We start from the raw sequence: 23,228 nt of genomic DNA, 5'->3' as shown, positions 1-23,228 counted from the left end.
TGGGAGGCGGAGGTTGCAGTGAGCTGAGATTGCACCACTACACTCTAGCCTGGGTGACACAGCTGGACTCCATCCCCCACCAAAAAAAAAAAAAAAAAAAAAATCCTTAGGATTTCCTCAGTGCTTTCAGGGTAAAATCCAAACTTCCCAGTATCACCCTCCTGAGCTAGCCTGTCACCTCTCCATCAACTAATTTCTTCAAAGATATGTATTGAACTCATGCCATGTGCTACCTTGTATTTTGCCTGTGCATATGTGAGAGAGACAAACAAAAAACAAGTAAACAAACAGGAAGACAGACATACTAAAGATGGACTATTAATAGTAATAAGGACTATTAAAAAGGCCCAGGGTTATGGCCCAGGAAGTGATAGTGCCTGATTTAGCAGTGGGGGTGACATTGCAGCTGGGCTGAGCTGAAGAAGGAGGTCTTCTAGATGGAGGGAAGAGCAAAGTGAGATCCTGAGCTGAGGAACCTTCTGGAAGGCCAGTGTTGCTGGAGGAGAGGGAACAAGTGGAGAAGATGAAACAGGCATGGGTGAGGGGGAAAAGAAGGCATTTGGATTTTATTCTAAATGCTGTGGGGGGCCGGGCGAGGTGGTTCACGCATGTTATCCCAGCACTTTGGGAGGCTGAGGCAGATGGATCACCCAAGGTCAGGAGTTCAAGACCAGCCTGGTCAACATGGCGAAACCCTGTCTACTAAAAATATAAAAATTAGCTGAGTGTGGTGTCAGGCGCCCGTAATCCTAGCTACTCAGGAGACTGAGGTAGGAGAATCGCTCGAACCTGGGAGGAAGAGGTTGCAGTGAGCTAAGATTGCGCCACAGCACTCTAGCCTGGGCAATAGAGCAAGACTCTGTCTCAAAAAAAAAAAAATATATTGTGGGGAAGCCCCTGGACAGAGTGTTGCCTCATCTTGCCTTCAAACTGCATTCCCTAACCTCCAGTTTCCTGAACTTGCAAATCTCTTCCTGGAACAACCTTTCCCTCATTCATCTGTTCCATGCCTCCTCTCCTTTAAGACTCAGATATTACTCCTCCAGGGAGCCTCTCTCAGTGCCTAGAACACCTAGCTGGCCGTGCATGGTAATTGCCAGTTTGTCATGTCTGTATTCCCCTCTGATTGCTGGGGGATGAATCGTTTTTCTTTGTGTCTGCAGCCCTGCCTCACACTTGGCCAGTGTTCAGGGAACCTTCCTGAAATTAGAACAAACTGCCTGCTTGAACATTTCATCTCACTACAGCAACTTTCTGGGTAGGTTGAAGGGGAGCCCTCCTGTAGCGGATTTTTGAAGACTTGTCCCCCGATTGCTCCTTTTAGGGGGGCTGTCATCCTTCATTCTCTTTTGCCTACCTAGAAGCCTGAGGCAGAGGGTAATGCCTAGGGAGGTGTTGGTGGAGAAAGCCCAGCCTTCTGCAGGAGGCTGAGAGGCTGAAGTGCCTCCCTTCCTGGCATAAGCTCACTGCCTCTACCATGCCTATTGTAGAGTGAGACCCTTTGGGGAACTCAGAGCTGTACTCTAGGGGACTTTTTTTTTTTTTTAGTGCCTGTCCTTGAACCCTGGATCCTCAGATTAACGCTTTACCTGGGCTAAGCTACCCAGGCTCTATGAGGTTCTTAAGTGGAGGTACTTGAGGAGAGGGTGAGAGGAGATTAGAGGGAAGATTTTTGTCAGCAGTCCATTTCCGATATATAAGAAACCTTTCCTGATGTAAAGCCATGGCCTACTACATTTTTTACCCTGGCCCACAGTAAAAAACATTTATACTCTGAGCGAGTACCCACATACATGCAAATAAACCCAGGGAAATTTCACCAAGCCGTAATTTTACTCTTGTGCTGTACCATGTGCTCCGATATTTTCTAGTTTTTTGTTTTTAAATCTCTTTATTGTTATTTAATGCTGTTGCTGTTTAATCCCCACAAGTTGATTTTATGAAGACTAATGTGTTCTGACTTAAGGATTTGAAGAGCAACTGGAATGAAGCCATTTTGTAGAACACCTCAAGGAGAAGGTCCCCTGTAAATTTTAATTCATGAGATAAGCAAATTAGACTACAGTTTAGTATTAAATGTTACAAACAGAGCTGATTGGTGGTGAAGGTTCTGGGTGAGCACTCCACCAATACCAGTCATATGACCTTGGGCAGTTTACTTCCCCGAGATTCCTCAGGGGTAGAACAGACTTATGCTCCCTCACTGGGCCGGTGAAGTTTGTAGAAATGTCCCACCCAGACCGGGAATGGTGGGTCATGCCTGTAATCCCAGCACTTTGGGAGGCTGAAGTGGGAGGATCACTTGAGCGTAGGAGTTTCAGACCAGCCTGGGCAACATAGGGAGACCTCGTCTCTACAAAAAAAAAAAAAAAAATAGCTGGGCATGGTGGTACAAAGTGCAGTGGCATAATCACAGCTCACTGCAGCCTTAACTTCTGGGCTCAGGTGATCCTCCTATCTCAGCCTCCTGAGTAGCTGGGACTATAGGCACGAGCCACTACAACTTGCTAATTAAAAAAAATATATATTTTTAGTAGAGAGAGGGTTTTGCCATGTTGCCCAGGCTGATCTTGAACTCCTGGGCTCAAGCAATTTGCCCTCCTTGGCCTCTCAAAGTGCTGGGATTATAGGCATGAGCCATTGTACCCAGCCTGCACAGCGTATTTCCATACACCCTAGCTGAATGTAATAAAATGCATCTATTCGGAACTAGGGAGTCCCTGCAAAGTTGATGGTGTTCTTGCTGATCCAGGCCACCCTTTCTCAGCTGTTTAATGGTTGGTGGCCCATGATTGAATTTGGCAGGCAGGGAAAAGGAAATACTTCAGCTGTATGTGTTGTTGCAGCTGTATGTGTATTTAGTTCCCAGCATTTCTGTGTATGTAAACATGCATACATACTCCCTCCCCCCTTCACAGTGGTGTCTGTCACCTCGCCACCCTCCCAGGAGGAGGAGATTCAACTTCTACAGGTCATCAGCGTGGATGATCATACCACATAGAGACTTACAGACCCTGCTGGAGAAACATTAAAATCTACGCCCATATCTAGCAGTATAAATTGGGAAGAAAGGCATTTATAAACACATGAATATTTTTGCACTTGTACATAATTTAACGAGGAGTTTTGCTTGCATTAATTGGGGGCAGTGTTGCACAGCAGAAATAGAATGCATAGACCATGAGTGGGCCAGCCCTCCGTTTGAATGTTACTTGACCTTTCTAAGCCTGTAAACTTTAAATCATGAGATATGCAAATTAGAGTATAGTATTTAATGTGACAGACAGCTGATTGGTGGTAAAGGCTCTGATTGGTAGTGAAGGCTCTAGGTGGTGAAGGCTGTAGGTGAGCACTCCACCAAAACCAGAATTTCTTCACCTGTGAAATGGGGATAATAATATCTATTCTTGAAGGAGCATGAATGGGATGAAGCATGTAGAGTGCCTAAAGTAGTGCCTGGCACATTGTAGGCACCTTCATACATGATAGCCATGAGTTCTCATTGCATGCATATTTTCCTGTTCCATGTAAGGCATTGTGCCTTTGCTTACATTTGGACTTCCCTCTTCTGGAGGAGCTCCTGCCTGCTCCTTCTCTCAACCCCATCCAAATTCTGCAGTACTTTAAATCTGCATTCATAATCTGTGTGATCCACTGGGTCTCTCCCCTGGCCCACAAGCATTTCCCTCCACTTTGCATTGTTTAAACACTTGCTGTTTGGGATGTGATAGCAGAGCAACTATAACTGTTAGGGTTTCCGTTCTTATCTTTAAGGTTACATTTTTTTATGACAGCTGTAACTGTCAATTACAACAATTAATTGACATAACACATATTTGATACGTTTTCACATATATATGCACCTGTGAAACCATCAGCACAGTCAAGATAAAGAACATATCCATCACTTCCAAACGTTTTCCCATACTTCTTCCTCCCTCTGACCTTTCCTTACTGCCTACTGCCTCTTCCATTTCTTTTTTTCTTTTTTTTTTTGAGATGGAGTTTTGCTCTTGTCACTCAGGCTGGAGCGCAGTGACGCAATCTTGGCTCACTAACTTCCACCTCCTGGGTTCAAGTGATTCTCTTGCCTCAGCCTCCCAAGTAGCTGCAATTACAGGTGCCCACCACCATGCCAAGCTAATTTTTGTATATTTAGTAGAGACAGGGTTTCGCCATGTTGGCCAGGCTAGTCTTGAACTCCTGACCTCAGGTGATCCACCCACCTTGGCCTCCCACAGTGCTGGGATTACAGGTATGAGCCACTGTGCCCAGCCCTGCCTCTTTCATTTCTTAGGTAACCACTGATACGCTATTTGCCACTGTAGATTAGATTAGTTTACATTTTTTAAAAAAATTTTATGAAAAAGGAGTAATGGCTTCTTTCATTAGGCATAATTAGAGATTCATCCAGGTTATGTGTATCAATAGTTTATTTTTTTATTGCTGAGATGCATCACAATTTGTGTATCTAGTCAACTGCTAGTGGACTTTTGGGTTGTTTACAGGTTTTTTTTGTTTTTTTTTGTTTTTTTTTTGAGACGGAGTCTCGCTCTGTTGCCCAGGCTGGAGTGCAGTGGCGCGATCTCGGCTCACTGCAAGCTCCGCCTCCCGGGTTCACGCCATTCTCCTGCCTCAGCCTCCCGAGTAGCTGGACTACAGGTGTTTACAGTTTTTGACTATTACAAATAAAGTTGTTATGATCCTTTATGTACACGTTATTATATGGACAAAAACTTTCATTTCTCTTAGGTAAAAACTCAGCAGTGGAATGGAAGGGATAGTATGACAGGTGTGTATGTTCAACTTCTTAAGAAACCACCAAACTGTTTTCCAAAATAGTATCATTTTACATTTCTACCAGCAGTGTATGAGAGTTCTAGTACCTCCACATCCTTGCCAACACTTGTTACTCTGATTCTTCCTAATTTTAGCTGTCTTAGTGGGTATGTAATAGTATCTCATTATAGTTTTGATTTACATTTTATAATGATTAATGATGTATTGAGTATCTTTTCCTGTGCTTTTTTACCTTCCATAAATCTTCTTGGGCAAGTTGTCTCTTCAAATCTTTTGCTTGTTTCACTTTTAAAATTGGGTCAGCCGGGTGTGGTGGCTCATGCCTGTAATCCCAGCAATTCGGGAGGCCGAGGTGGGTGGATCACTTGAAGTCAGGAGTTCGAGACCAGCCTGGCCGACATGGTGAAACCCCATCTCTACTAAAAATACAAAATTAGCCGAACATGGTGGTGCACACCTGTAATCCCATCCACTCAGGAGGCTGAGGCAGGAGAATCACTTGAACCCAGGAGGTGGAGGTTGCAGTGAGCCAAGATCATGCCACTGAACACTCCAGCCTGTGTGACAGAGCAAGACTCTGTCTCAAAAAAAAAAAAAAAAAAAAAAAAAAAAATTGGGTCATTGGTTGGGTGCAGCAGCTCATGCCTGTAATCCCAGCACTTTGGGAGGCTGAGGTGGGTGGATTGCTTGAGCCCAGGAGTTCAAGACCAGCCTGGGCAACATGGCGAAACCCCATCTCTACAAAAAATTAGCTCAGCATGATGGGGCGCGCCTGTAGTCCCAGCTCCTCTGGAGGCTGAGTCCAGGAGGATCACTTGAGCCTGAGAGGTGGAGGTTGCAGTGAGCTCTGATTGCGCCACTGCACTCCAGCCTGGGCAACAGAGCAAGACTCTCAGTAAATAAATAAATAAATAAATAAAATAAAATTGAGTCATTTCTTATTAATAAGTTTTGAGAGTTCTTCATATATTCTGCATACAAGTCCCTTCCCAGATACATTATTTGCAGATACTTTCTTCTAGTCTGTGTCTTGTCTTTATTACTTAACAATGTCATTTGATGTTTTTCTTTTACTTTATTATTTTTTTTGAGAGTTGCTGCTGTCTTTTAAGTCCCAACAAATTCTTCATTTTTGTATTTGTTGTGCTTTTCTTTCTAAATTTTATTATTGTTATTTTAGTTTTCATGGGTATTGAAGTTTTATTTTAATAAAATCCAGTTTACCAATTTTTGGGGGAGGGTGTCATATCTAAGAAATTTTTGCCTAACGCAAAGTCATAAATATTTTACCCTAGAAGTTTCATAGTTTTAGATCTTACAGTTAGACCAAGACCAATTTTGAGTTGATGTGAGTTGAATTTTTTTTTTTTTTGGCATATGGATGTCCAGTTGGTCCATCAGTCATTTGGTGAAAATGACTGTCCTTTCTTCTTGGAGGTGGCTTTACCTCTTGGTGAAAAATCATTTGTCTATGTAAGTGTGGGTTTATTTCCCTGTCTGTTCCAGTGATCTGTTTGTCTATTTGTCTGTCTTTACACCAACACTCACAGTTTGGACTGGATTTCTAAGTTTCTCTGAGATGGGAACCATGTTTTACATATTTTTTGTCTAACCAACATTTACCAAGCAACTACTTTGGGCCCATTAACCCACATATTTATTGTATGCATAAAACAGAAACCCTAAGAGCACAACTGAAAGAGAAAATGTGGAGTTGAAATCACAATTTAAGGAGTATTTAATATTTTGAAACATTTGTGTTTGGCAAATAAAGTGAAAGGGAATATCAAAGGTTTTCAGTGAACTTGTGCATCTTTGGAATTAAACATAAAACAGCATGTCAGTTGTCTCTTTTTACTTTGTAAATTTTGTTTTATCTTATTTACTTATTTTCATTGACAGATTATAGTTCTATCGATTTAAGTTGTTATTTCTTTTCCCTTCTTTCTTTGTTTTAGAGTTGGGGTCTTGCTATTACCCAGGCTGTTCTCAAACCCCTGGGCTCAAGCAGTCCTTCTGCCTCAGCCTCCCAAGTAGCTGGGACCACAGGCATGTCCAACAAATTGTTGTTTCTTTCTTTTTGAGACAGGTTCTTAACTCTGTTGCCCAGGCTGGAGTGCAGTGGCACAATCATGGCTCACTGCAGCCTCAATCTCTTGAGCTCAAGGGATCCTCCCACCTCAGCCTTCCAAGTAGCTGTGACTACAGGTGCTTACCACCAGGTCCGGCTAATTTTTAAATTTTTTTTGTAGAGATGAGGTCTCTTTATGTTGACCAGGCTGGTCTCAAACTCTTGGGCTCAAGTGATCCTCCCACCTCAACCTCCCAAAGTGCTGAGATTACAGGTGTGCACCACCAGGCCTGGCCACCTTCCCATTTCAGTGTCCCTCATGACTCCCTAGACATTAAAAATTGTTTTTCTTTCCTTTTCAAAGCCAATTTTAATTATATATGTATGTGAATATATTTCATTTTTAAAATTAAAACCAAATTCCTTTTCATGATCCTCCTAAATTCTCCTTCTACCTACACTTTGCCATTTGCTGTGTATCCTTCTGGACCGTTTTAAAATGCATTTTTGTACATATTTATATTTTCATTTATATTTGAAATGGTTATCCTTAAATTAAAAAAAATACTTAACTATGCTTTTCTAGCAGCAACCGTAGCATTCTTTGACTTACCTCTCTTTTACCATTCATTGTTTTCCATTGCTGATTACATTGTACTCATTTTGGGTGTATTTTTCTTTCAGGAGTTACATCCTTGAGTAATTATTTCAAAGGGATTAAGTGGGAAATAAACTTCCTAAGTCCTTGAATATCTGAAAATATCTTTATTTCACTCTCAGATTTGAAAAATAATATGATTGGTATATTAATGAGTTCACAGATTTTTTTTCCTTTTGTCTTTTTAAGATCTGTTCTGTTGTCTTCTCATATCTGTGTTGTTGATAAGCATCTGATGCCTTTCTAGTTCTTTCATAGGTAATTGTTTCCCCCTCTAAGGATTTTATTGTTATCCTTGATTTAAAAAATTTTTTTTCACTTCTCTTTTTGTTCCTATAGATATCCTTGATATTTTGAAGTTACACTATGATTTTTTTTTTTAGGTGTGGGCTTGTTTTTAAGTTTCTCCATTTTATTTTGTGAGTCTGTTCATTTTGAGTTTTATCTTTTGTTAATTTAGGAAAGGCTTCTCTATTATTTAGTTAAATGTTGCTTCCTCCCCATATTCTGCATTCTCTCCTTTTGGAACTTCTTTAGTAAAATAATGGTTCTTCTGAATCTTATTCCTGATGCCACTTTAACTTTGATTTCATACTTTCCAGTGCTCTATTCTTTTGTACTGCATCTTGAGAGACTTTGACTAGCCAGTCCACTATTTCCATCTTCATCTGTGTTTATTCTGCTTTTTAATCCATACATTCATACATTTTTATTGCCAAGATCTATATACCCCTTTTTCATAACTGCTCTTCCTCTGAAACTGTCTGTTCTTGTTTCATGAATGCCATATTTTCTTACATCTCTGAGTCTCTGAAGTATATTTAGCTTGACAGTTTGCTGTGATTCTGTTATTAACTCTGCTTCTTCAGGTGTACATTCTTACATTTGTTGAGTCTATGTTGTCTTCCATAATCTTGGCATTACTCGAATATTTGATGTTCAAGGAAATGTTGGAGGGAAGATGGTACTGTATCCACCTCTGATAGTGCTCTTCTCCACACATTGTAGTGAGAGTTAGGAGAGGTGAGAGGACTTTGAGGGCAGTAGTGGGGATGCTTCCTTGTCCTTCTGGGCATCACTAGCACTGGGGGCACTGCCTTCCTTCTCATGCCCAACCTCCTCCATTTACTGCTTTCACCTAGAAGATATCCTAGTGTGTGTAGGGTAAGTTTGGGTGAGTGGGCCATGGTGCACAGAGTTTATCTGCTTGGCTGTTTTCACTGTTATTCTCCAAATAATGACTCTGTTGCTTGTCTTCATATTCCTTCCTGTTGTGGGATTCCACCAGTTCTACACTCTACAGCAGAACTCTGCCATTCATAGTCAAGGACTGCAGATTCCCTCTTCAATCTCATCTTTGTGTTTCTTAAGGATTTCCTGGTTGTCAATTTTGAGTTCTCCTTTTTGTTTCAAACTTAACTATCCATGTTTCATTGTGCACCTATTTGTTTATTATGCACAACATTTCTATTATTTTTAGGGAGTTAGCATGGGAAGGGAAGATGAACATGTTATCTGTCTGATATTTTTAAACTTGAAGTCCTGTTTCATTTTCAGTTCATGCCCTGCTCTTGCTAAGATTGACTTGTAATGGCAGTACTGTGACTGGGTAGCATGTAATCACTGATGAAGAAGAAAGCTGGTTAGATTTTGGGCCATTTGCTTCCACATTACTGCCTATACTGTATGTCATCAGCAATGTGTTGAACTGGATTCAGTTGAACTGGAAAAGTATGGGTGGATAAGGTGGGGCTGAGGAGTTGCTTATAGTGGAGTAATATCTATGCACATCTGTACCTGCTTAATTTTTCTTTATTCAGTCATTGTCTTATCTGAAATATGTATGTTTGCCTACACCTATTGCAAATTCAAACATCAAAGTATTATATATAGTAAATGAAATTTACTAAGATATTATCAAGTATTAACAAGTGTTTTAGACAATTGTAGAGTTTTGGGGGAAAATTGTTGGTTACAATAGGGAAATAAAACGTTACTTTTCAGTCTGTATTGGATTAGGTTAGACCAGAGAAAAAGACATGATGAGGTATAGTTAAGAAGGAAATAAGAAATTTAGGAAAATAATTTAATGTATATACATCTCTATATTTTATATTCTTTTTTTTTTTTTTCGAGACAGGGTTTTGCACTGTTGTCCAGGCTGGAGTGCAGTAGTGCAATCAAAGCTCACGGCAGCCTTGAACTCCTGGGCTTAAGGGATCCTCCCACTTTAGCCTCCCAAATGGCTGGGATGACAGCTGCATGCCACCATGCCCAGCCAATTAAAAAGAATTTTTTTTTGTAGAGACAAAGGTCTCTCTATGCTGCCCAGACTGGTCTCAAACTCCTGGCCTCAGGTGATCCTCCCACCTCAGCCTTCCAAAGTGCTGGCATTATAGGCATGAGCCACTGTGCCCAGCTCCTTTTCTTTTCTTAAGACGTTGGTTCCTTTTCTTGATCCTTCTTTGAGTTTCATACTGGGTTTTTTATTTTTGTGTATTTACTCATGAAACCTTTTAAAAAAATTGAGATATACTTTATATACCATAGTATTTGCTCTTTTAAAGTACAGAGCTCAATGGATTTTAGTATATTCACAAAGGTGTGCAATTATCACCACTGTTTAATTCCAGGGATTTTTTTTTTTTTTTTTTTTGAGATAGGGTCTCACTTTGTCACCCAGGCTAGAGTGCAGTGGTATGACCTCAGCTCACTGCAGCCTCAACCTCCTGGGCTCAAGGGATCCTTCTGCCTCAGCTCTTAGAGTAGCTGGGACTACAGGTGCGTGCCACCACACCTGGCTAATTTTTAGCATTTTTTTTTGTAGAGATGGGGTTTTGACATGTTGCCCAGGCTGGTCTCAAACTCCTGAGCTCAAGCAGTCCACCTGCCTTGGCCTCCCAAAGTGCTATGATTACAGGTGTGAGCCACCATGCCTGGCAAATTCCAGAACATTTTTATCACTCCAAAGAAACTACATACCAGTTAACAGTCGCTCTCTATTTTCCCTTCTCTCTAGCCACTGGCAACCACTAACTACTTTTTGTCTCTATGGATCTGTCCATTCTGAACATTTCATGTAAATAGAATCATACAATAGATAACATTTTGTGTCTGTTCTTTCACTTAGCATTATTATTTTCAGTGTTCATCCATATTGTAGCATGAATTGGTACTTTATTCCTTTTTTATGGCTGAATAATATTCCATTGTATTTTTTTTTTTTTTGAGACAGGGTCTCACTCTGTCACCCAAACTGTAGTGCAGTGGCATGATTGTGGCTCACTGCAGCCTCGAGCCACTGGGCTCAAGGGATCCTTCCACCTTGGTCTCCTGAGTAGCTGGAATTACAGATGCATGCTGCCATACTCAGCTAATTTTTAAAGTTTTTGTAGAGATGGGGTCTTACTATGTTGCCCAGGCTGATCTTGAACTCCTGGCCTCAAGCAACCCTCCTGCCTCAGCCTCCCAAAGTACTGGGATTATAGACATGAGCCACCATTCCTAGCCTGTATTCCATTGTACCGCATTCTTTTCATCCATTCATGAGTTGATGGGTGTTGGGCAGTTTCTACTTTTGGGCTATTGTGAATAATGCTGCTGTGAACATTCGTGTAGAAGTTTTTGCCTGGATATATGATTTCAATTTTTTTTGGTATATTTGGAGGAGTGGAATTACTAGGTCATATGGTGACTGTATGTTTAATCTTTTTTTAAGACAGAGTGTCACTCTGTTGCCCAGGCTGGAGTGCAGGGGCGCCATCTCAGTTCACTGCAACTGCTGCCTCCCAGGTTCAAGTGATTCTCTTGCCTCAGCCTCCCAAGTAGCTGGGATTACAGGTGCCTGCCACCATGTCTGGCTAATTTTTGTATTTTTAGTAGAGATGGGGTTTCACCATGTTGGCCAGGCTGGTCTCAAACTCCTGACCTCAAGTGATCTGCCTGCCTTGACCTCTCAAAGTGCTGAGATTACAGGTGTGAGCCACCATGCCCAGCCTATGTTTGAGGAACTGCCAAACTGTTTTTCAAAGTGCAACATTTTGTATTCCCACCAGTGGCATATGAAGGTTCCAGTTTCTCTACATCTTCACTAACACATGTTATTATCTGTCATTTTGATTATAGCCATCCTAGTAGGTGTGAAGTGGGATCTCAATGTGGTTTTTACTTGTACTTCTCTGATGGCTAATGACATGGAGCACCTTTTCATATGTGTATTGGCCTTTAGTGTCTCTTTGGAGAAATGTCTATTCGCATCCTTTGCTCATTTTTTATTGGGTTGTCATTTATTGTTGAATTATAAGCATTCTTTATATATTCGGGATACTAGACTCTTATCACATGTATGATTTGCAAATGTTTTCTCCCATTCTGTATGTTGTCTTTTTACTTTTAAAATTTTTGATGAAGTCCAGTTTATCTGTTTTTTTTTCTGTTGCTTGTGCTTTTGCTGTGATAGCTAAGAAACCATTGCCTAATGCAAGGTTGCCAAGATTTACACCTATGTTGCCTTCTTAAATAAAACATTTTGATTTAAGAGTTTTATAGTTTTAGCTCTTCAACTTAGATGTTTGATCCATTTGAGTTAATTTTTGTATATGGTATGACATAAGGGTCTAACTTCATTCTTTTGCATGTGGATATCCAGTTGGCCCAGCACCATTTGCTGAATGTCTTAGTTTTAATAATTGTTTTAGGTCCTTGATCTCATTTATTGTAACAGCCCTATGAGATGTTTATTTTCATTATCAAGTCCATTTTGTAGATTTTGAAATTGAGTCTCAAAAGCTAAGTATCTTTTTCAAGGTCTGATAGTTTAAACCCCAAGTCTTGCTGACTTCACAGCCTTAACACTGAACCACGGTCTATACTTCCTTTACTCCTGTGAAATATACACGCTCTTGGTCAATTAGGAAGGCTGCTTACCAATTAAGCGGTTTTCTAGGACTAAAGAACATTGTGGAATTAATACTATATGTTTCAAGAACGAAGGAAAGAGAGAGCCCTACAGGGTTTTGAGCTGTTACACCAACTTCTTTTTTTTTTTTTTTTTTTTTGAGACGGAGTCTCACACTGTTGCTCAGGCTGGAGTGCAGTGGCATGATCTCGGCCCACTGCAAGCTCCGCCTCCCAGGTTCATGCCATTCTCCTGCCTCAGCCTCCTGAGTAGCTGGGACTACAGGTGCCCGCCACCACGCCTGGCTAATTTTTTTGTATTTTTAGTAGAGATGGAGTTTCACCGTGTTAGCCAGGGTGGTCTTGATCTGCTGACCTCGTGATCCGCCCGTCTCGGCCTCCCAAAGTGCTGGGATTACAGGTGTGAGCCATGCGCCCGGCCCACCAACTCCTACTTTTATCCAGTAATGCCTAATCCCTCTAGGACCCTTAGCAAAGGATTTTAAGATTGAATTTTTGTTACCAGGAACTGGTGTAGTGCTGGCCTCTAGAACTTTCTGTGAGGATAAGAATGTTCTATGTCAGGGATCCCCAAACCCCGGGCCACAGACCTGTACCAGTCTGTGGCCTGTTAGGAACTGCGCTGCATGGCAGAAGGTGAGCAGTGGGGGAGCAAGCGAAGTTTCGTCTGTATTTACAGCCACTCCCCATTGCTCGCATTACTGCCTGAGCTCTGCCTCCTGTCAGATCAGCAGTGGCATTAGATTCTCATAGGAGTGCAAACCCTGTTGTGAACTGCACATGTGAGGGATTTAGGTTGCACGCTCCTTATGAGAATCCAGTGCCTGATGATCTGTCATTGTCTCCCATCAACCCCACATGGGACTGTCTAGTTGCAGGAAAACAAGCTCAGGGCTCCCATTGATTCTACATTATGGTGACTTGAGAATTATTTCATTATATAGGACAATGCAATAATAATAGAAATAAACTGCCTAATAAATGTAACCAGCTTGAATCATCCTGAAACCACCCCACCATCCCACTGGTCCCTGGAAAAATTGTTTTCCACAAAACTGGTCCCAGGTGCCAAAAAGGTTGGGGACTGCTGTTCTGTGTCTGTGCTGTCCAATACGTTAGCCACTTGCTGGATGTGGCTATTGAGTACTTGCCACGATGAAACTGAGGAACCCCCAAATTTTTATTGTGATAAAATATATATAACATCATAACATTTACAGTTTTAGCCATTTTTGGCGGTGAGGGCCACATAACAATGTGACTGTTATGCGCCCCTCACCACCATCCATCTCCAGAATGTTCTCATATTCCCCCAGCTGAAACTACATACCCATTAAACATAGAACTCCCCATTCGTCTTTTCCCCCAACCCCTGAAAACATTCTGTGTCTATGAATTTGGCTTCTCTAGAAACATCATAGGAGGAGGATTTGAATTTCTAATTTTAATCGATTTTAATTTAAATAGCTGTATTTGGCTAGTAGCTACCTTACTGGATGGGGGCCCTGAGCCAGGGTGGGCCTGAGAGATGTCTGCCTTTCACAAACTTTGCATCTGCTGTGTAACACAATCCAAACCTGCGACATCTAGTCCAAGGCCCATTTTCCAGGCCTTCGTGGCTTGGGAGAGTACTAGCCAGAGGAGGGTGACTAAGAGAGGCATAACTCACGTCAACAAGCATCTCTTTAGTGATGGCTTCTCAGAGAACAATATGGCTCCTGAATGCTCAGACCTGGATTCTTTCCACAGTCTGCTCCAGGAAATAAATCTCTCTTCACGCTCCTGAGTCCCTGCTTGTGATGTGGCATTATATTGGTGTCTGGCCTCCGGGATGGTGTAAGAAGTGGCGAGACTCTATTGTTGAGTGTTTTGCACTTAGCAAAAGCTGTCCCCTTTGCCTGGTGGGAAGTATAGACCAGCGGTTAAGTGTTAAGGTTGTGAAGTCAGCAAGACTTGGGGTTTAAGTGGAGGGACTGTAGTTAGCACTCTTTGGAAGAGTGGCATCATCTGTGAATCATAAATCACATTTGAGGTGGAAGTGAAACTCCTCTAATTAACCTCTGTGAAAGCATCTCACCTTCATTCTCATTTTGTGGTTTCTCCAGTTCTGGACTTCAGTGACCCCTTCAGCACTGAAGTGAAGCCGAGAATCCTGCTCATGGGCCTGAGGAGAAGCGGCAAGTCGTCTATTCAGAAAGTTGTCTTTCACAAAATGTCTCCCAACGAAACTCTGTTCTTGGAGAGCACTAATAAGATATGCCGGGAAGATGTTTCCAACAGCTCCTTTGTCAATTTTCAGATTTGGGACTTCCCAGGACAGATTGACTTTTTTGACCCTACATTTGACTATGAGATGATCTTCCGGGGAACAGGAGCACTGATATTTGTCATTGACTCACAGGTAAAGCTCAGAGTCTCAGGGGTATGATGGCCTGGCCGGTCCCCTCCACCCCACCCCATGTTTTTGGTTTGGTTTTTAAACTCTGGAATAGGCCTTTCTACCAAACAAGTGTTTCTTGGTCAGGGCTCTCAGACTTTGCCAAAGTTAAAAGGCTCCAGCCGTGACCAACAATCAACCCATTGAGCATTAGGGAACAATTGACACTTCAGCAAATCATAGACCTAGGAAACCTCACTGATGGAGGGGCCCATTTAGGCCAAATATGTCATCCCCACTATGGTACCGCTAGTCAACATCTACAAAAGATCACAGGTTCTCTGCAACAAAAACATGTGTATAAATTTACATTTTAAACTGTTTATTATTTCCTATGAAGATAAAGTTCTAGGTGTGAAAATTTTTCTTCTGAAATAAATTATTATAATTATTGCTTAAGATAATATAATTATGTATTTTATAGATGATTATTACATATAAAAAGTAAAATTTGAGATAAATATCCCTCTTTAGAAGATGGATATTTGATATTTTTTCCACTTCATATATCCATGCTTGAATAAGACAATATTTGGCATCAGTTCCATTTTTGTTTTCTGTTTATATAGTTATAAGCACTGAGAAACTTTATTCACATAAGTAAGTAGGTGGATATGAGGTGAGTTTTATTCTAGCATTCATACTGCTATTCAGATTCCTTCCAAGTTATATCCCCTAAATTACCAAGTTTTCTATCATGAAAAATTATTTTTAGTAGTTTAACAACAGGCTTCCAGAGTAGGTTCTCCTTTCACTTTGTTGGACGCAAAGAATTGGGAACCTGTTTCCTATGCTTTGAAGAGCCCCATTCCCAGTCGCGAGTCATTCCCTGTATCAGGTTCTTTTCTAGCATTCCACATTGGCTCCTTGGCACCCTGGGTTTTTTACATCCTGAGGCTTTTCTGCTGTAGTTGGTGTAAAGGGGAGGCAAAGGGAGACAGTAGGACCACAAGTGTGTCAGGCAGATACATTTTAGGAAGGGGATGTGCAGCAGGATAGGGGCATTGGTGCTTTCCAAACTATCCATGTCTGGGGCTCTTAGAAAATGCCCATGACATATGGCCCAGCCTGAAGGCTCCCCAAGGGCTCCCTTTTGCAGCTGGGGGGAAATAAATGGCATCAGCCCTTCTCAGCATGCGCTGAACCAACTCTGAGGTTCAGGTTGTGCCCTTTCCCTGGAACTGTGGACCCACAGTGAGACAGGTTGGCCAGCTGCGGGTGTGCATCGCCCCGCTAAGCACACCTGGCCCTTCTAGGAGCACCAGAGCTGTTAGGGCTGAAGTGTTACAAAGACTATTCCCGATAATATCATTCTGAGCCCATGCTCGAGAACCATCCTCTGAGTAGACTCCCCATGCCTGAGAGGATCGTAAGTTCATTCAGGATCTAGGTGCCTGTTTAATAATAATAACAAAATTTTCAACTAAGCCTCTCAGTTCCAAGTGGCTGCATTTGTGTACGTGTATGGCTGTGGGAGCATGGCCAATGGTTAGAAGGGTTCTTCCTTTCCTTTTTGGTAGGGGTGTGGAGGAGGGAGACTTCAAATCCAATGCCTGATCTGTGATCAGCAGTTTACTCTCTTCCCATGGGCCTACCCAGAAACACGTGTTACCTGCACCACGTCCAGGGCCTGCTGTCAGCAGCTGCTTTCCTGACTGTCCCACTTGTACTGACCTGTTTTCTGGCCCATCTGTGGTCTTGGCAGTATCCCCTGCTTTACTGTCTCAGGTCTGCCAGCACCATAAATTAGGGAGCTTAGTGCTCAAGGGGAGTGGATGGGGTGTGTGCACACTGCTGTAGGGAAGGGGAGGCTCCAGGGATGTCATGCTCATCTCTCTCTTCTAAGCTCCATTTTTCTCCCTAAGTCACGCAGCAGCTGTTTCTGTAGTTGTTGAACTGGGTAGCTGTAGTAGTCCTACCCATGGGTGAGTAGATTTCCAACCAGATGACTCATCATTTCAAGACAATGGATTAGTAAGTACTTACTTAAATACCACGTTGTGCTTACATAGCAATTTGCATTTATGGGAATTCAAATTTACAGTGTAATCTATTTTTAGGTGTTTCTAATATGGTTATAATGTGGCGAAAATAGGTACATCTGCCTATTTTTAAATTGAAGGCAGACCTTCAATTTAGGTTGGTAAATGTGTTTTTTATTTTAATTTTGTTTCTTGAAGTTTTTTTTCTTCCTCAGACGAGGTCTCACTATGTTGCCCAGGCTGGAGTGCAGTGGCTATTCACAAGTGTGATTATAACCCGCTACAGCCTCAAAGTCCTGGGCTCAAGTGATCCTACTGTTTCAACCTCCCAGGTAGCTGGGACTACAGATGCATGCTACTATCCTTGGCTCTTCTCTTGGGTGTTTTTTGTGGGGCAGAGAAAGATATAGGAATGTTTGAGAAGTTCATTTTTTAAAGGTATACTTTTTTTTTTTTTTTTTTTGAGACGGAGTCTTGCTCTGTCGCCTAAGCTGGAGTCCAGTGGCGCCATCTTGGCTCACTGCAAGTCCACCTCCTGGGTTCACGCCATTTTCCTGCCTCAGCCTCCCGAGTAGCTGGGACTGCAGGCGCCCGCCACCACACCCGGCTAATTTTTTGATTTTTAGTAGAGATGGGGTTTCACCATGTTAGCCAGGATGGTCTCGATCTCTTGACCTCATGATCCATCCATCTCAGCCTCCCAAAGTGCTGGGATTACAGGCGTGAGCCACCACGCCTGGCCTAAAGTTATACTTTTTAAAAAGAGAAGGCTGGGCACAGTGGCTCATGTCTATAATCCAAACACTTTGGGAGGCCAAGGCTGGAGGACCACTTAGGCCCAGGAGTTTGAGGCTGCAGTAAGCTATGATTGTGCCATTGCACTCTAACCTGGGTGACAGAGCAAGACCTTATCTCGAAAAGAGAAAAAAACCACACATAAAAATAAACAGTAGGAAAAGCATTGTTGAATGCTGTAATTTATTTAAAATAAGGAATAATTAAATAAGCAGTTTCAAAACCTAATATACTTTTCTGTTGGAAGCAGAATGTAAAAATCATGTTTGCAGGAACCTTTATGGGATGTGATTAGAAGCACTGACAGGAAAATCAAAACTTTAGGGAAGTGTCTCCACAGCACTTGAGTGTCCTTTCCTTTCTTTCTTTTTTTTTTTTTTTAGATGGAGTCTCACTCTGTCACCAGGCTGGAGTGCAGTGGTGCGATCTTGGCTCACTGCAATCCCCGCCAACTGGGTTCAAGTGATTCTCCTCCCTCAGCCTCCTGAGTAGCCACCACACCCAGCTAAGTTTTATATTTTTAGTAGAGACAGGATTTCACAATGTTGGCCAGGATGGTCTCGATCTCTTGACCTCGTGATCCACCCGCCTCGGCCTCCCAAAGTGCTGAGATTACAGTCATGAGCCACTACGCCTGGCCCCTTTCCTTTATTTCTAAGCAATACTATTTTGTTCTCACTCCTCATATTTTTATTTTTTGTTCATGAATTCCTTACAGTCACAGGATTGCCGGATAAATATATCCCCCAGGAGTAAATGTGTCCTCACAGAATGTCATAAAATAAAAAAGAATGAAAGCAAGAGTGGTTCCCATGATCTGTGGTGACACCCCAGCCCCGCTCCCCAGCCTACAGAATGCACCATATCTCCTGAAGCCATTGCACATGTGCTATGGATCCAAAAGAGAGTTTCTTCTTGACCTGTGCTGGTGCTTGTGACCTGCCCATAATCCCCAGATCTAATTTCAGAGTAGAAACTATGCAGTGTATTTTACCTTAATTTTTATTTGTCAAAGAAAGTAATAAACGATGGGAAAAATCACCTGCAATCCCTCTGTTCTAACCAACCAAGTATTTTCTTTTTTTTAGTCCTTGTAGCTGCATGCTGCTTTTTCAGTTAGTTGGTAATCAGACCATTTTATATGCTTGGCAGGGAGGTTAGAGTAGCAATTTCCAATCTTTGGAGATGTGATGCTCTCTTGACATTGGGTAGTTTTGCTCACAGACATGTTCCCTTAACTCCCCTCCTCAGTTAAAGACAGCAATAACACTTTTCTTGAGGTGTAATTTACATGCAATAAAATGCATTCATTTTAAGTGTACAGTTCAACAGGTTTGACCAATGTGTACACCATGTAACCACCCCTCCTTCAAGATATAGAATATTTCCACCACCCCAAAGGTTCCCTTGTGCCCTTTCTCAGGTGATCCCCTGAAACACTCAGCCCCAGGCAACCACTGCAGTGCTGTCACTTTAGTTTGCCTTTTCTAGAATTTCATCTATGTGGAACCATACAGTAATACCTTTAGTTTTTAATGCTTAATCTGCTGACCCAGAATCCGACATTTGCCTTTCATTTAATTTAATTTTTTTTTTTATTTTTTTTGAGATGGAGTCTTGCTCTGTTGCCCAGGCTGGAGTGCAGTGGCACGATCTTGGCTCACTGCAACCTCCGCCTCCCAGGTTTAAGCAATTCTCCTGCCTCAGCCTCCTGAGTAGCTGGGATTACAGGCATGCGCCACCCTGCCCAGCTAATTTTTGTATTTTTTTAGTAGAGACGGGGTTTCACCATGTTGGTCAGGCTGGTCTCGAACTCCTGACCTCGTGATCTGCCCGCCTTGGCCTCCCAAAGGGCTGGGATTACAGGCGTGAGCCACCGCGCCCGGCCTCATTTTATTTAATTTTTACAGGCAGGCTCTCACTCTGTTACCTAGGTTGGAGTGCAGTGGCAAGATCATAGCTCATTGTAACCTCAAATTCCTGAGTTCAAGGAATTCTCCTGCCTCAGCCTCCGAGTAGCTGGGACTACAGGTGTGCACCACCAAGTCTGGTTAATTACATATATATATATATATATATATTTCTAGAGATAGGGGTCTCACTGTGTTGTTCAGGCCGGTCTTGAACTCAAGCAGTCCTCTCCAGTAGGTGGGATTACAGGCACAAGCCACTGCTCCTGGCTTTTGTCCTTTATTCTAAACAACTCTGTAGAGTGTGAAGGATGGGAAGGACTCCATTTGCGGTTTTTCCCTCTTCATAGTTTCCTATTTGTATAATTAATATTTGATTTGCCTAGAGACTAGGGATACATTTTTACTGATGTTTGGAGCATAGAAGAATGCCAGAAAACACCCCCAATTATATTGGCTTTCTGTTTTTTCCAGGTTTGGAGGCACAAGTGGCGGGGCAGAGGGGGAAGGCATTTAGATTCTGTCCTACAGGTCTCTTTCCTTTTTTTTTTTTTGCCATAAAAACAAGACCTGTTCACACCCTTCAAATTGGCAATAAGAGATCTGACACCACCAATTGTTGGTGAGGGTCTGAAGCATCAGATGCTGTTTACAGACTTCCAGGTACAGTCAAGGCACTCCTACCTATGACCTGACAAGTCACCCTTCAGAGTAAGCCACATGTACATGAGACTGTACATATATCATTGTAATCACATATACATGGGAATAATGTCCATCAGCAGGCAAATATAAATTATAGATCATCCATAAAAGGAAGTTTTATAGAGCCATTAAAAGGAACTAATGCACTGTAGTTATGTACTACAGATAACATTCAGCATAGGTGAATCTCACTGACATAGTGTTGAATGAAAAAGGCAAACTATAATATACACACAACTTAATATTTCTTTCCATTTTTAAACAATGTAAATGAATTATATGTGATGTTTGGGGATATATATGTCTGTATTAATGTATACATGAGTGAGAATAAATACTAAACTTGGGATAGTGGTTGTCTCTAGAGGATGAGGGGGTAGAGGGATAGCATGGGTTGGGAGGATGAGGAGAAACACAGAGGGCTTTTGTGTAGGTGTTTTATTTCCTAAATAGAGATAAATACACAGGTGTTCATTATATAGGCATGGGAAGAAGAAAAAAGTTAGTATTGTTTGGGGCAATTCCTCTAGACCAGGGGACTTTTTCTGTAAAGGGGCAGATGGCAAACATCTTAAGCTTTGTAGACTGTACTGTCTCTGAGGAGTTTCTCTAGAGGAAACTTACTCAACTCTGCCATTGTAGCACAAAAGCAGCCTTAGACAATATGAAAGCAAATGAGCATGTTCCAATACAACTTACTTTTAAGAAACAGGCACAGGGCCTGCAGACGGTGGTCTGCTGACTTCTGCACTGAACCAGTGGTTCTTAAAATTGCTCCTCAGCTCCTTCCCCACCCGCCCAGTGGCCTGTATCATGCCTCCATCTCTAATTGTTCATCACAGTTCACAAGAGACTGGAAAAGTTAGGAGGAACAGTATTCTGGGGAAGGTCTTATGTGGAGTAGGGTCCGTTTCTCTTCCTGAAACCGCAACTCTGATCTTTTTTTTTTTTTTTCTTTTTGTGACCGAGTCTTACTCTGTCATCCAGGCTGGAGTACAGTGGTGTGATCTCAGCTCACTGCAATCTCTGCCTCCTGGGTTCAAGCAATTCTCCTGCCTCAGCCTCCCGAGTAGCTGGGACTACAGGCGCATGCCACCACGCCTGGCTAATTTTTTGTATTTTTAGTAGAGAAGGGGTTTCACCGTGTTAGCCAGGATGGTCTCAATCTCCTGACCTCATGATCCACCTGCCTGGGCCTCCCAAAGTTCTGGGATTACAGGCTTGAGCCACCACGCCCAGCCAACTCTGATCTTTATGACTGTCATCAACCTCAGTCATAACTGCCTAAATCAGCTGCATTTTTTTAGCCTTTCTTCTTCCTCTCTTTGTTAACAGAACTTAAATTTTCACACTGGAATTATAAGAAGCCAGCTTGTTGAGGGGAACCTTTGCAACGTATTTCGGGGGGTTGCAGCCACATGGTTTCCAGGTGAAGAGTGTGTGTGGGAGGCTCAGGAAGCAAAGCGGCCTTCTCTCACAGGCGTTGCCTTTGGTCCTAGGATGATTACATGGAAGCCCTGGCCAGGCTCCACCTCACGGTGACCAGGGCCTACAAAGTGAATACTGACATCAACTTCGAGGTGTTTATTCATAAAGTGGATGGTCTGTCAGATGACCACAAAATTGAAACCCAAAGAGATATTCACCAGAGGGCAAACGATGACCTTGCAGATGCTGGATTAGAAAAAATTCACCTCAGGTGAGAACAGAAACCCCTTAAGGATCCCAATAAAGGATGGAAGAAAGCAAGTTTGGGGTTCGGAGTCACCATGATTGGCTTGGCATGGGCAGTAATTTACCTTCTTTTTACCCTGTTTCATGCTGTAGATGGATAGGATTAGGGGAAAATGAGCTTTGCATGTGCTAATGCTAATCTTTAGTGAAAGCGATGTTTTTTTGTTTTTTAACAAATGGTCAAAGCTAAGGTTCTCCCCTCACATGAGAAACACATTATAGAAAACCTATGAATATAATTTTAGTAGTTAGTTGATGCTAAAGTTTACAGTTCTTGATAAAGATATTATCTGTAATTATAAGTAAAGGAGTAGTCTGAAAACAATCCAAATAGGAATCCTCACAAAGGAAAACAATGTTTCCATCATTTTTTGTGAGGTAGTACATGCATCATTTTGTAAATTGGGAAATGGAAAAAAAATAGTTGCTTCAATATCAAGAATATAAGTTACTAATTGGACAACCTAAGAGGCTTGTGTAAAGATGATCTGGCATGGATTGTCTTGCAGAATGTCAGGAAGCTGGGATGGACACAGATTGCTGCGGTTGTAAGCTTGCCAGTTGGCAGATGAGAATAGGCACAGCAGATGAGAATAGGCACAGCTCGGGCTTTTTGGGAGGTGGGGAGGAATGGCTTGTTTTTTACCGAGGTCACTGTAAATTCTGAAGGGGGCTGGACTGTATGTGTTAGGACTATACATACAGAAGGCAGATTACCGGTGTTTTGACATAGCCTAAGCAGCCTGTTCCTCATTCAAAGGGAAAACATGATGAAATACCGTTTCCTCTTTCAGCTTTTATCTGACAAGCATATATGATCATTCAATATTTGAAGCTTTTAGCAAAGTTGTTCAGAAACTGATTCCACAACTCCCAACTCTGGAGAATTTGCTGAACATCTTTATCTCAGTAAGTAAATAATATTCCTGTTTGAGTCACTTGTAGAATTTGAAAATAACATTGCAAGAGTGAAAAAGATCTTATTTCCGATTGCTTCTATAGCATTTCAAGGTCATTTAAGTATTACTTTTAAAGATTACTCCTACGTGTTCTTTTAGATCCTTTAAAATTTAACTCCCAGCCCAGCTTGATGGCTCACGCCCCACTTTGGGAGGTTGAGGCGTTACGATGGCTTGAGGCCAGGAGGTTGGGACCAGTTTAGGTAACATAGTGAGATCCTGTCTATACAAAAAAAATGTAAAAACTAGCCAGGTGTGGT

At 42.0% G+C, this 23,228-nt stretch overlaps 1 protein-coding gene across 1 annotated transcript in view, besides 2 other annotated features; it reads left to right on the top strand.

Moving 5' to 3' along the window:
* The window catches only part of RRAGD (Ras related GTP binding D), a 47,658-nt gene that overhangs the window by 10,132 nt on the left and 14,298 nt on the right, over nucleotides 1-23,228 (top strand). The window contains exons 2-4 of the mRNA NM_021244.5: nucleotides 14,552-14,847; nucleotides 21,775-21,974; nucleotides 22,804-22,918. Of these exons, the coding sequence (NP_067067.1) occupies nucleotides 14,552-14,847; nucleotides 21,775-21,974; nucleotides 22,804-22,918 (611 nt within the window). The remainder of the gene's footprint in view (nucleotides 1-14,551; nucleotides 14,848-21,774; nucleotides 21,975-22,803; nucleotides 22,919-23,228) is intronic.
* Nucleotides 14,700-14,759: an enhancer, noted in NCBI's record as "active region_24828". NCBI's record gives its function as "activates an Ori minimal core promoter by ATAC-STARR-seq in GM12878 lymphoblastoid cells {active_cell/tissue: GM12878}" and the evidence as "EXISTENCE:reporter gene assay evidence [ECO:0000049][PMID:35858748]".
* Nucleotides 16,768-16,847: an enhancer, noted in NCBI's record as "active region_24827". NCBI's record gives its function as "activates an Ori minimal core promoter by ATAC-STARR-seq in GM12878 lymphoblastoid cells {active_cell/tissue: GM12878}" and the evidence as "EXISTENCE:reporter gene assay evidence [ECO:0000049][PMID:35858748]".

The sequence above is a fragment of the Homo sapiens genome, chromosome 6 (assembly GCF_000001405.40).
Source record: "Homo sapiens chromosome 6, GRCh38.p14 Primary Assembly".
NCBI lineage: Eukaryota > Metazoa > Chordata > Mammalia > Primates > Hominidae > Homo > Homo sapiens.
Note: the sequence above shows the minus strand (reverse complement) of the source record. Positions and strands in the feature narration are given on the sequence as shown.